The 14,861-nt window shown below is 32.7% G+C and overlaps 2 protein-coding genes across 2 annotated transcripts in view; both read left to right on the top strand.

Moving 5' to 3' along the window:
• Positions 1-14,861, top strand: part of SLCO1B3-SLCO1B7 (SLCO1B3-SLCO1B7 readthrough) — a 275,549-nt gene that overhangs the window by 217,778 nt on the left and 42,910 nt on the right. The window lies entirely within an intron of this gene.
• LOC124902894 (putative solute carrier organic anion transporter family member 1B7) overlaps positions 1-14,861 on the top strand; it is a 150,851-nt gene that overhangs the window by 132,047 nt on the left and 3,943 nt on the right. Inside the window, exons 7-8 of the mRNA XM_047429949.1 lie at positions 9,883-10,125; positions 13,602-13,766. Of these exons, the coding sequence (XP_047285905.1) occupies positions 9,883-10,125; positions 13,602-13,766 (408 nt within the window). The remainder of the gene's footprint in view (positions 1-9,882; positions 10,126-13,601; positions 13,767-14,861) is intronic.

A 14,861-nucleotide genomic window follows, 5' to 3' on the forward strand; every position in this document is an offset into this window, starting at 1 on the left:
TGTAATATGTTTATTTATTTTTCCTTTTTTGCTACTTCTATAAACATTTTCTGGGTATCATGGGACTTACATAAAATATAAAAGTCTCTTTTAAGCTGATAATAAATTAACTTCCATTACATAGAAAAATTCTACATTGATTAGCCTGCTCACACTTTATCTTAATGAAGTCACAGTTTACATCTGTTTATATTGTATATCCATAAATATATTTTAGATATACTTATTTTAATGCTTTTGTCACTTAAATTTTTATAATTTAATTAAAATAACTTACCCACAAATGATATACTAATATATTAATCTGTAGTTGTCTATGTATTTGCATTTACCAATGACTTTTGTCCTTTTAATGCCATTATATTGCTATTTGGCATCATTTTGTATTAAGTAGAAAATTTTCCTTTATTTTATTTATTTATTTTTACACAGGTTTATGGGTTTAGTATTCCCTCAACTTTTGTTTGTCTGGGGCTTTTATGTCTCTTTTTTTTTATTGCACAGGTATGTATTGTTTTTATTTTTTAAATTTTAAATTCTTAATTTTCATGGGTACATAGTAGGTGTACATATTTTGGGCACATGAGATATTTTGATAAAGACATGTAATGTGTAATAATCACATCATATAAAATGGGGTATCCATCCCCTCAAGCATTTTATCTTTGTGTCATAAACAATTCAGTTATATTATTTTAGTTATTTTAATATGTACAATTTATTGTTAACTGTAGTCACCCAGCTGTGCCATCAATAAATCTTATTCATCCATTCTAAATACTATTTTTGTACCCATTAACCATCCCCACTTTCCCCCCAAACCCCTACTGCACTTACCACCCTGTGGTAACCATTCTTCTACTCTCTATCTCCATGAATTGAATTGTTTTGATGTTGAGATCCCACAAATAAGTGAGAAAATGTGATATTTGACTTTCTGTCCCTGGCGTATTTTACTTAATGTAATGACCTCTAGTTCCATCCATTGTGTTGCAAATGACTGGATCTCATTCATATTTATGGCTGAATAGCCCTCCATTGTGTATATGTATAATATTTTCACTTCATCTGGTGTTAGACGCAGGTTGCTTCCAAATCTTGGGTATTGTAAATAGTGCTAAATCAAATGTAGGAGTGCAGATATCTCTCCAATATATTGATTCTTTTCTTTGGGGTATATTCTAAGCAACTGAATTGCTGGATTGTATGGTAGCTTTATTTTTAGTTTTTTGAGGAACCTCCAAACACTTCTCCAGCATGGTTATACTAATTTACATTCCCACCAACAGTGTGCCTTTTTTCCACATGCTCATCAGCAGTTGTTATTGCCTTTCTTTGGATATAAGCCATTTTAACTTCTGTGAGATATCTTACTGTAGTTTTAATTTTCATTTATCTGATGATCAGTGATGTTGAGTACCTTTTCGTATGTTTGTTTACCATTTGTATGCCTTCTTTTGAGAAATGTCCATTCAAACATTTAAAAATTGGCCCATTTTTAAATGGATTATTAAATTTTTTCCTATAGCATTGTTTGAACTTCTTATATATTCTGGTGATTAATCTTTTGCCAGATGGGTAGTGTACAAATATTTTTTCTTATTCTGTGGGTTGTCTCTTTACTTTATTGATAGTTTTCTTTGCTTTACAGATGCTTTTAACTAGATAGAATCCCATTTGGCCATTTTTGCTTGTATTTCCTGTGCTTGTGAAGTATTACTCAAAAATGTTTTGCCCAGCCTAATGTTCTGAAGATTGTCCTTAAGATTTTCTTGTAATAGTTTCACAGTTTGAGGTCTTAGATTTACATCTTTAATGCATTTTGATTTGATTTTTTAATATGGCAAGAAATAGGGTTTAGTTTCATTCTTCCGCATATAGATATGCAGTTTTCCTAGCACCATTATTGAAGAGCCTGTCTTTTTCCCAGTGTGTGTTCTTTGGCACCTTTGTCAAAAATGAGTTTGCTCTATGTGTCTGGATTTGTTTCTGGGTTATCTATTCTTTTCCATTGGTCTATGTATCTGTTTTTATGGCCAGTACCATGCTGTTTTGGTTAGTGTAGCTCTGTAGAATAATTTGAAGTGAGATAATGTGATTCCTTCAGTTTTGTTCTTTTCTGCTCAAGACAGCTTTGCCTATTCTGTGTCTTTTGTGATTCCATGCAAATTTTAAGATTTTTTTTTCTGTTTCTGTGAAGAATGTCATCGGCATTATAATAGAGATTGCATTGAATCTGTAGATTGTTTTGGGTAGTATGGACATTTTAACCACATTGAATCTTCCAATCCATGAACATGGAATATAATTCCATTTTTGTGTCTTGATTTCAATTTCTATCCTCAGTGTTTTAAAGTTTTCATTATTGAGATCTTTCCCTTCTTTAGTTAAGTTGACCTCCACACATTTAATTTTTTTGTGGCCATTGTAAATGGGATTTAATTATTTTATTCAGATTGTTCACTATTGACATATAGAAATGGTACTAATTTTTATATGTTGATTTTGTATCCTGCAATTTGACTAAATTTGTTTAACAGTTCTAATAGTTTTCTTTTTTTTGGTGGGGTCTTAGGTTTTTCTGAATATGTGATTATATCACCTGTAAACAAGGATAATTTGACTTCCTTTCCTTTTGGATGCCCTTTATATCTTTCACTTGTCTAATTGCTCTAGCTAGGTCTTCCACTACTATGTTGAATAACAGTGGTGAAACTGGGTGTCCTGGTCATATTCCAGATATTAGAAGAAAGATTTCAGTTTTTGCCCACTCGGTATGCTACTAGCTCTGTGGGCCTGTTATAAGTGGCTTTTATTACATTTGGGTATATTCCTTGTATACCCAGCTTTTTTATGGTTTTTACCATGAAGCATTGTTGAATTTTATCAAATGATTTTTTAGCTTTAATCGAAATGATTATATGGATTTTATCCTTCATTCTGTTGATATCTGTGTCATGATTGATTTGCATGTGTTAAACCATTCTTACATCCCTGGGATAAATCCAACTTGGTTATGATGAGTGATCTTTTTAATGTATTATTTAATTTGGTTTGCTAGTACTACGTTGAGGACTTCTGAATCAATATTCATCAGAGATACTGGCTTGTAGTTTTCTTTTTTTGATGTATGTTTGTCTGGTTTGCATAGCAGGATAATTCCGACCTTGTCTTAGGTTGGTTTTGCCATTAAAACCAATGGCAAATACTGCAGTTACTTTTGCACCAACCTAATAGAATGAGTTTAGAAATATTTTCTCCTTATCTACATTTTAGAATAGTTTGAGCAGGATTGATATTAATTCTTCTTTAAATGTTTGGTAGATTTCAGCAGTGAACCCAGCAGGTCCTTGGCTTTTCTTTCCTGGGAGACTTTTAATTACAGCTTCAATTTCATTACTTGTTATTGGTCTGTTCAGGTCTTGGATCTCAGTTCAATCTTAATAGGTTTTATATATTTAGGAATTTATTCATTTCCTCTTGATTTTCCAATTTATTGACATATGTTTGCTCATAGTAGCCTCTAGTGGACCTTTAAATTTCAGCAATATCATTCGTAATGTATTCTTTTTCATCTCTGATTTTACATATCTGGGTCTTTTCTCTTCACATTAGTCTGGATAAATTTCTGTCAGTTGTATTTATGTTTTCAAAAAACAGATTGTATTATTCATCTTTTGCACTGTTTTATCTCAGATTTATTTATTTCTTCTTTCATCTTTATTATTTATTCTACTAATTTTGGGTTTAGTTTGTTCTTGTTTCTCTAGTTCTTTAAAGTGTATCATTAGATTACTTATTTGAAGTTTTTCTTCTTTTCGATGTGAGCACTTAAAGCTATGAATTTCCCTCTTGGTACTACTTTTACTGTATCTTATCTCATAGGTTTTGGTATGTGCTTCCATTTTCATTCATTTCAGGAAAATTTTCAATTTGCTTTCTAATTTGTTCATTGACCCACTGGTCATTCACGGGCATATTGTTTAATTTCCATGTGTTTGGATAGTTTCCAAAATTCCTCTATTATTGATTTCTAGTTTTATTCCATTGTGGCCAGAGAAGATGCTTGATATGATTTCTTTTTTTTTTTCTTAATGTTTTAAGACTTCTTTTGTGACCTAATATATCATCTGTCTTTAAGAATGATTCATATGCTGATGAGAGAAAATGTTTATTCTGGAGCCCTTGAATAAAATATTCTGTAAATATGTATTAGGTCCACTTGTTCCATAGCTCAGGTTAAGTCTTTCTCTTTCTTGATTTTCTGTCTAATAGGTTTTTTCAATGCTGAAAGTGAGTTGTTGATATTTCCAGCTATTATTGTATTGAAGTCTGTCTCTCTTTTTCACTCTAATAATATTTGCTTTATATTTCTTGGTGCTTCAGTGTTGGGTGCAAATGTATTCACAATCCTTTTATTCCCTTGCCGAATTGAACCATTTGTTATTACATAATGACATTATTTGTCTCTTCTTTCAGTTTTTGTCTTGAAATCTATTTTGTCTGATGTAAGTATAGTAACTCCTTTTGGTTTCATTGGCATGTAATAATATCTTTTGCTGTCCCTTCATTTTCAGCCTGTGTTTATCTTTATGGGGAATTGCGTTTCTTGTAGGCAACAGATCATTAGGTCTTGTTTTATCACCCATTCAGACACTCTATTTCTTTTGATTGGAGACTGTAGTTGATTTACATTCAATGTTATTAATAGGTAGGGACTTACTCCTGCCATCTTGTTATTTGTTTTCTTGTGGTTTTGGGTCTTCTCTTCTCCCTTCTTGTCTGTCTTTTAGTGAAGGTCATTTTCTCTAATGGAATAATTTAATTTCTTCCTTTTATTTTTTAGTTTTTGGTCTGTCATATGTATTTTGACTTGAGATTACCATGAGGCTTGCACATACTTACTTATAACCCACTATTTTAAACTGGTAACAACTTAAAATGATTGCATAAAAAAATAAATATGCAAAAAGAAAACTAACAGGCTGGGCACAGTGGCTCATGCCTGTAATCCTAGCACTTTGGGAGGCAGAGGCAGGCGGGTGACCAGAGGTCAAAAGTTCAAGACCAGCCTTGCCAACATGGTGAAATCTCATCTCTACTAAAACTACCAAAATTAGCCAAGTGTGGGGGCAGGCGCCTGTAGTCCCAGCTACTCGGGAGGCTGAGTCAGGAGAATCTCATGAAGGTGGAGGTTACAGTGAGCTGAGATTGTGCCACTGTACTCTAGCCTTGGTGATAAGAGCAAGACTATGTCTCAAAAAAAAAAAAAAAGAAAAAAGAAAAGAAAACTGATAAAACCTCTATACTGCAACATCAACTTCTTATGTTTAAATATTTTTTCCCTTTTATCTTATTTACTGTGTATGTCTCAAAAAGTTATTGCAGTTATTATTTTTTATTATTTCATCATTTAGTCTTTCTACTTAAGAGTAGTTTGCACACCACAATTACAGTATTATAATATTTGGTATTTTTCTGTGTGCCTACTATTGACACTGAGTTTTTTTTAACTTTGGATGATTTCTTCTTGCTCAGTAACATTATTTTCTTTCAGATTTTAGAACTCCCCTTAGCATTTCTTACAGGACAGTCCTGGTGTAAATACAATCCCCCAGTTTTTTTTTTTTTTTTAATCTGGGAAGGTCTTTATTTCTTATTTATCTTTGAATTATATTTTTGCTGGACATAATATTCTAGGGAAAAAGTTTTTTTCTTTCTTTATCCTTCACCTTTGAGTGTTGGGTTATTAAGTGCCTTGAGGTACTCTTCTTTGGGTTATATTTTCTTGGTTTTCATTAACATTCTTGTACTTGAATGTTGATATTTTCTCTAGGTTTGAAAAGTTCTGTAATATTATCCCTTTGAATAAACTTTCTACCCTTTCTCCATCTCCCTTTTAAGGCAAATAACTCTTAGTTTTGCCCTTTTGAGGTTATTTTCTGTATCTTTTAGGTGTGCATTGTTCTTTATTCTTTTGTCTCTTGTGACTGTGCAGTTTCAAACAGCCTATCTTCAAGCACATTATTCTTTCTTTGGCTTGATCAGTTCTGCTCGTAAGAGACTCTGAAGCATTCTTTAGTATGTCAGCTGAATTTTTCAACTCTTAAATTTCTGCTTCATGGATTTTAATAATTTTAGTCTCTTTGTTTTTAAGATTTTTTTATTTTTAATTTTTATGAGTATATAATAGGTGTATGTATTTATGGGGTACATAAGATGTTTTGATACAGGCATGCAATATGAAATAAACACATCATGGATAATGGGGTATTAACCCCTCAAGCATTTATTCTTTGAGATACAAATAATCTAATTACATTCTTTAAGGTATTTTAAAATATACGATTAATTTATTGTTTACTATAGTCACCCTATTGCACTATCAAATAGTAGGTCTTATTCTTTCTATTTTTTTTGTGTGCATTAACTGTCCCCACCTCCCACCTCCAATCCTCTGCTACCCTTCCCAGCCTCTGGCAACGTCCTTCTTCTCATTATGCCTACAAGTTCAATTGATTTGATTTTTAGATCCCCCAAATAAGTGAGAACATGTGATGTTTGTCTTTCTGTACCTGGCTTACTTCACTTAACATAATAATCTCCAGTTCTCTCCATGTTGGATCTGGATCTCATTCTTTGAGAATGACTGGATCTCATTCTTTTTTATGGCTGTATAGTATTCCATATGTACCAAATCTTTTTTATGAATTCATCTATTGATGGACACTTAGGTTCCTTCCCAATCACAGCTATTGTAAACAGTGCTACAACAAACATAGAAGTGCAGATATGTCTTAAATAGACTGATTCCGTTTCTTTTGGGTATATACCCAGCAGTGGGATTGTTAAATCATATGGTAACTCAATTTTGAGTATTTTGAGGAAACTCCAAACTGTTATCCGTAGTGGTTGCACTAGTTTACATTCACACCAACAGTGTATGAAGGTTCTCACCAGTGTTTGTTATTGCTTGTCTTTGGGATAAAAGCCATTTTAACAGGGGTGAGATATATCATTCATCAGATATCTCATTGTAGTTTTGAATTGCATTTATCTAATGATTAACAATGTTGAGCACCTTTTCATTTGCATGTTTGTCATTTATTTGTCTCCTTTTGGGAAATGTCTATTCAAGTGTTTTGCCCTTGTTTTGATCAGATTATTAGATTTTTTTCTATAGAGTTGTTTGAGCTCTTTGTATATTCAGGTTATTAATCTGTTGTCAGAGGGGGAGTTTGGAAATACTTTCTCCCATTGCATAAGTTGTCTCCTCACTTTGCTGATTGTATTTTTTGCTGTGTGAAGCTTTTTAACTTGATGTGATCCCATTTGTGTATTTTTACTTTGGTTGCTTGTGTTTGTCAGGTATTGCTCAATATTTTTTTTTCACCCAGACTAATGTCCTGATGATTTTCACCAATATTTTCTTGTAGTAGTTTCATAGTTTGAAGTCTTAGATGTATGTCTTTAATCACTTTTGATTTGATTTTTGCATACGGTGAGAGACAGGGGCCTGGTTTTATTCTTCTGCATATGGATATCCTGTTTTCTCAGCACCATTTATTAAACAGACTGTCTTTTCCTCAGTGCATGCTTTTGGCACCTTTGTCTAAAATGAGTTCACTGTAGTTGTATGGATTCTGGGTTCTCTATTTTGTTCCATTGGTCTATGTGTCTGTTTCTATGCCCGTAGCATACTGCATGTTGTTTTGGTCTCTATGGCTCTGTAGTAAAATTTGAAGTCAGGTAATAGGATTCCTCCAGCTTTTTTTTTTTTTTTCCTTAGGATAGCTTTGGCTATTCTGTGTCGTTGTGTTACATATGAACTTCTGGTTTGATTTTTCTATTTCTATGAAGAATATTATTGTTATTTTGATAGAGATTGCATTGAATCAGTAGATTGCTTTGGGTAGTATGGACATTGAAACAACATTAATCTTCCAATCCATGGACATAGAATATTTTTTCAATTTTTGTTGCCCTCCTCAATTTCTTTCATCAATGTTTTAAAATTTTCACTATAGAGATCTTTCACTTCTTTTGTTAATTCCAAGGTATTTGCGGCTATTGTAAATGGGATTACTTTTTTATTTCTTTTTCAAATTGTTCACTGTTAGCATATAGAAATGGTACTGGTTTCTATGTTGTTTTTGTACTGTGCAACTTAACTAAATTTGTTTATCAGGTTGAGTAGCTTTCTTGTAGCATCTTTAGGTTTTTCTACATATTAGATCATATCATATACAAACAACTATAATTTGACTTCTTCCTTTCCAATTTGGATGCCTTTTGTATCTTTGTTGTCTGATTGCTCCAGCTAGGACTTCCAGTACTACGTTGAATAAAAATGGTGACAATGTCCATCCTGGTAGTATTACAGATTATAGAGGAAAGGCTTTCAGTTTTCGCCTTTCAGTATGATACTAGCTGTAGGTCTGTCATATATGGCTTTTATTTAAAGCCATATATGGCTGTAGGTCTGTCATATATGGCTTTTATATAAAGAGGATAATGAAGATACAAAAATGGTACAATAGTAACATTGTCTATGTTGGGCTATGTTTCTTCTATCCCCAGTTTTTTAAAGTTTTTTTTTTATTATGGAGGAATGTTAAATTTTATCAAATGTTTTTTCATCAATTGAAATGACCACATGATTTTTATATTTTATTCCATTGATACAATGTGCTCAGTTGATTTATTTCCATATATTGAACCATCCTTGCCTTCCTGGGATAAATCCCACTTGATCATGGTGAATGATTATTCTAATATATTGTTGAATTTGGTTTGTTAGGATTTTGTTGAGGATTTTTGCATAATTACTCATCAGAGATATTGGCCTGTAGTTTTCCTTTCTTGATGTGTGTTTGTCTGGTCATGGTATGAGGGTGATACTGGCCTCATAGAATGAATTTCGAAGTATTCCCTCTTCCTCTATTTTTTGGAATAGTTTGAGTAGTGTTGGTATTCATTATTTTATTCTCTTTGTTAAATTTATCTGATAGAATTCTGAATTCATTCTGTGTCATCTTGAATTTCTTTCAGTTTCCTCAGAACAGCTATGTTGAAATCTGTCTGAAAGAACACATATGTCTGTTTCACCAGGATTGGTTCCTAGTGCCTTATTTAATTTATTTGATGAGGTCATGTTTTTCTGGCTGACCTTGATGCCAATAAATATTCATTGTTGTCTGGGCCTTGATGAGTTAGATATTTATTGTAGTTTTTGCAGTCTGGGTTTGCTTCTACCCATCAATCTTGAATATGCTTCCTAGTTGTTTGAAGTGACTTATGCCCCATGATGATTAATATTGTGGTTTGTGCAGTGTTATAGAGGTACTGTCTTGGTGGCCTCAGATAAGATCCAGAAGAATTTTCTCGATTACTAGACAAAGACTCTTGTTCTTTTGCCCTACATTCTCCAAAACAATGGAATCTCTCTCTTTCTGTACTGAGCTACCTAGAATTTGAGGTTCAGTGATGCAAGCACCCTTGTGCCCACCACATTTTCAGACAACAATGAGGATTCATATTTTTTCCATGAGTAGTTATTAAATGGTCCTTGGGGTTAAGACTCCAATGATGACAGCTGTCCTGTCATGAAACCTGAAAAAACACCAAGTGCACACAAGCTCCAGAAATGAGAACAACGTCATGACTGATTTCTGGCCTACAGCAACTGCAAGATGTCATCAAATGTTAGACTGATTCTAGTTTCAAAGATAACAAAATATGAAAAGAAGAAAATAGTGTCTTAGAATTTATGACATATATTTTACTTTATTCATCTGTGGAGGACTGCAATCATTATCATTATTTCCCAGAACCTACTGTATTTCAAAATGATTTTTGACTGGCTTCTTTTATTTATTCTAGGCACTATCAGGATAACTCCTAAGGACTCTCGTTGGGTTGGAGCTTGGTGGCTTGGTTTCCTTGTGTCTGGAATAGTATCCATTATTTCTTCTATACCATTCTTTTTCTTGCCTCTAAATCCAAATAAACCACAGAAAGAAAGGAAAGTTTCACTATTTTTGCATGTGCTAAAAACTAATGATAAAAGGAATCAAATAGCTAATTTGACCAACCGAAGAAAATATATTACCAAAAATGTGACTGGTAAGTATTTTACATTCATTGTCAACTTGGAGTTGTTAATTTCAATGAAAGGGAGTGATGAGTATTCCGAAATATAAACCATACTCAACTCATCAAGAGTTAGCTTTCTTCTGCACTAAATGTAGCTGAATTATTTTTCTAAAAGTCATACTAAAGTTAACAAATATTTCTTGAGCACATAACAAGCAGAAGTGGATTAGGATTTTGCTCTTTAGCAGGCAGAAACCAATCAAAGGCTACAAATAAAACATTTGTTCCTTATAAGCCAAAGAGTATGTATTCATTTTAATATTATATAGTGTAAACTGTGAAGGTTAAAAAGATTATAATATTTCATTCATTCACTTATTCAACAGAAGGTACCAGCCACCACACTATGCCCTGGTGACAGAACATCACTTTTATTTTTCAAAAACCTAGTGGATAATATTGAGAAGTATATAGATCATTGTAGTAAAGTATCTTAAATAGTGGTAAGGTTATACTTAACTATTCTCAAGTGTAGAGATAGAATAAGGAGAAGGAATTCAGGAGAGGTTTCTCTGTAGGTAATTGGAGTAAGATTATTTTTCTTGGTAATTAAAATTATATATATTTTAATAAGATTATATATAATTTTAATTAGATTATATATAATTTTAATATATATATAATTATAGCTTACCTAAGTATTCAAAAATGAAGTGGAAACAATAGCTGTTATTAAAGTAATTGAAGTCAGTAATGTGAATTAGGATCCTTTACCACTTGATAGTGACTCTTCTTTTGAATATAAGCCCTGGAGGGCTAATGGAGAACCATGGAGAAGCAGTAATTGAGAGAATGATCTGACAGCAGTCAGAGCAAAATATTTGAAATGGTAAGGTATTGACAGCAGTTTTCAGATTGGGACAAAATGGTGAAATCGTAAAACCTGAAGTAGTGCAACCAACACCTAAACTCAGCAAATGTTTCAAGTTTTTATTGAAGTAAGGTTACAAATTTCCCAGGGTAACCTATGCTCTCCTCATCAATTCTTTCACTTCCCATTTGTTGTTGTTATTATTTTCTCCTCTCCACCACACTAACCCAAGAGCAATGGGATGGATGATGGAGCCTTGTGTATTCACTTATGAGAGTGGATTGTTCAATTTCAACTGCATTGGTAGCTTGAAATTGTCCATGGTAGGAGAATTTACCACCATACGTTACCATGGAAATTGAGAAATCCTACAAATCTGGTTTCCCAACCAACAAATCAGTTGTTAAACATTTACCAGCACACCACTGTTTTAAAAGTTTTTTAATAAGCATTCTAAAAATAGCATATCAAGGAATTTTTGTTTTGTGTGTGCCATGTTTCTGCTTTATCTAATCAAATCCATAATAATTAATGGATTTTCAAACCTATAAGAGTCAGAGTTGACTGTGAATCCAGAAATAATAAAGAGGATAATGAAGATACAAAAATGGTACAATAGTAACATTGTCTATATTATGAGCTGGTTTTCGGGGGGGTTAGTGACGTGAATAGTAAAGAGAATCTTAATTATTAATAAGTGCCTGTTAAGAATGGATAACATACCTAAATACCTATAGTCAGGAGAAAAGACATATTGGATTTATTCTCTATGTTCTTGTTGAAAACTAAGACTAATTGGTTAGAAAGAAAGGAAAATTTCAGTTCATTACAAAGACAATTTTTAAACAATGAGAACTGTTCAAAAGTTGAGCAAATTGCTCTCAGGTAGTCAGCTTCATGTCACTTGAGTTGTTTATTGATCTGTTTATTAAAAATAAGTAATACGTCACAATTGTATAGAAGTTCAGACCAGATGACATCCAAATTGCTGTCTGCCACAAAAATTTAACAGTTTGGTTAATCTACACGTTTCATTCCTTTTGACCAAAGATCACGACTCTCTTAGAAGGCCTCACAAATCAGTGGTGATTCTTACTCACAGGGGAGACCAATAGAGGGAAGTTTAGCACTTTGGCCTAACAATTTTAAATATTGTTTATTCTTACTATACATTTTCTTACCTCTTTTCTGTTCTGTGCCATTTCTCAAAATGTATTTTGTTTTATTATAATCAGAGGAAACTATTTTTTAAAGAAACTACTGTTAGTACTGTTCATATCTAATGAAAATCTTTAGAGGCCTATAGAGAACAAGATCTTTCAAAGCCCATATCATCCATCTCTCAATAACTATTTCCGGGCCTGTCTTGCTGTACTCTAAAACTTCCTTTTGTTCTAAGTAGTTCCTTCCACTTTTAACTTCTATTATAGTTGATTGACCTGGCAATCACAGACCCAGAATATAAAATTTCTGCCATGGACAGAAGTTAGAAATTTGTTATCACACCTATTTGTAGGCATAGGTTGTTGTACTATTACTGTCATAATGTCCCTTGGGACCAACATTTTTATCCCCTGCCTCTCCTTCTTGCGTCTTAACACAGGTGATTTATAATACTGCCAGATTTACTGAGGCAGTATTTTATGGTACAAAAGCTGTATACCAGGGAAAAAAGAAGTCTGAGCCCTCATACTAATTTTGTCTTTAAAATTTTTGAACATCAGAGATTTTATTTCTGTATCTCAGATTATGCTGTCTTTAATTTAAATTTATATTTAACAATTTTATTTTAATGTAATAATTATATTATTAAGTGCTGATACATAAGGGACATCACATTTCTTTTCTTTTCTTCTTCTTCCCCTCCTCCTCCTTATCCTTCTTGCTTCTTCTCCTTCTCCTTTTCCTTCTTCCTCTTCCTCCTACTCTTCCTCTTCTTCTTCACTGTGACAGGGTCTGGCTCCGTCCCCTAGGCTAAAACGCAGTGGCATGTATTATGACTTGCTGCAGCCTCAATTTCCCAGGCTCAAGTTATTCTCCCTCATCAGCCCTCCAAGTAGCTGAAGTGATGGGAGCATGCCAACATGCCAGTCTAATTTTTGTATATTTTGTAGAGGGGTGATTTTGCCATGTTTCCCAGTCTGGTCTCTAACTTCTGGGCTCAAGCAATCTGCGTGCCTCTGCCACCCAAAGTGTAGGGATTACAGACATTAGCCACTGCACCCTGTGAACATCACATTTCTGATTCAGTTTTTTTTCTTTCTGGGACGCTTAGTGTATTGCCTAGTACCCAATTGAAAACCAAACATTTGTGGAATGAATAAATAATTAATCTGTATGTAATAGTATGGTAGAGTGCCAAGGATAATAAAATGTTAAGTGAACAAAGTAAGTCACAAAACAGCATTTATGCATGATCCTATTTGGAAGTAAAATGAACTAAACCAATAATAATATGCATATGAAAAATATTGAAGGAATGTAGTTAAACTGTTAATAGTAGGATTGAAGGGTGCTCTTTCTGTGTTATGTAGTTTTGTAATTTTAAATCTTATAAAACTTATATTTTCAAAATTCAGATATTAATGTATTTTAATTACATTGAAATATTTTGTTTACTTTTATAATTCTGCAGGCTTTTTCCAGTCTTTGAAAAGCATCCTTACCAATCCCCTGTATGTTATATTTGTAATTTTTACATTGTTACACATGAGCAGCTACATTGCTTCTCTTACTTATATCATTAAAATGGTGGAGCAACAGTATGGTTGGTCTGCATCTAAGACTAACTTTTTGTTGGGTAAGACATACTTTTTACGTGTTTACTTGATAAATGCAACATTACTGGGTATTTGTGTTAAAAGACAGATTTTATTGTGAAGGTTATTTCACATTTTACTAAATATACTTTTATTATCTCTCTAACTTTGTAACATTTGTCAATATTGTGATATAACCATTGTTCTGCATTTGAAGTTGCATCTCATGTTAGGTGAGTTCTAAAACCAAAGTTGCTTTTGAATAAAACATTTAGAGGTAGTATCTGCATAATTGGATCTTATAGTGGTGAGATCCTGAGACTAGCCCTTTTGTAATATAACCATTATAAACCTATAATTCATGGACTGAAATAAGGCTTCAGCCACTGACAAAACATATGATATTGACGTTTTTTAAAAAAGAATCAATTTAAATGCCTCACAAAATATGCATGATTCAAAAAAAATCATAGAATTTTTTTCTACAGTATCTATTTTCAGTGTCATATTGAGACCTGCCCATTAAGAAGTTATAACACTTTGTAGTAACTATTCTACAAATCTATCTATTGTACAAAACTATCTATCAATTTGTAGAAAGATGGTAGAAATTTGATAAATATGTGATGAGTTAAAAAATTTATCAAGTGGTATGTGACTAGGTCATGAGTACATGAGAAAATAATAATTAGAAAATGAATGTACAGAAGCACTAGACCAGGCACCTGGATGATCTCCCTGTTGAACCTAAAAGTTTAAACTTAAAGGTTAAATTTTGGCTCCCAATAACTTGATCTGAAGTTTTTGTTAGAGGAAACTTCATCTTTAATAACTCTTACAGGACAATGAAATGGTAAAATTGTAGGAGGAATTAACCATTTTTAATCCTGTATATTGATCTTTTTTTATTATAGCAGGGTATATATGTTTTGATGAATAAGGATGAGATATTACTTCAGGAATTCAATTCTAAATCTCTGGGAAAATTTGAAGTAAGCTACTGAGGTTTGGAACTCTACTGTGAGAGATGTAAAGGATTTTAGATGGCAGGCTCAAAATCTCATAGGAAAAAAGATTTTGTTTTATTGTTGTTGATTTCCAGAAAAAAAGAACGTGCTTCATAGAAATAATCTGTT

This window comes from Homo sapiens, chromosome 12, assembly GCF_000001405.40.
Source record: "Homo sapiens chromosome 12, GRCh38.p14 Primary Assembly".
Lineage (NCBI taxonomy): Eukaryota > Metazoa > Chordata > Mammalia > Primates > Hominidae > Homo > Homo sapiens.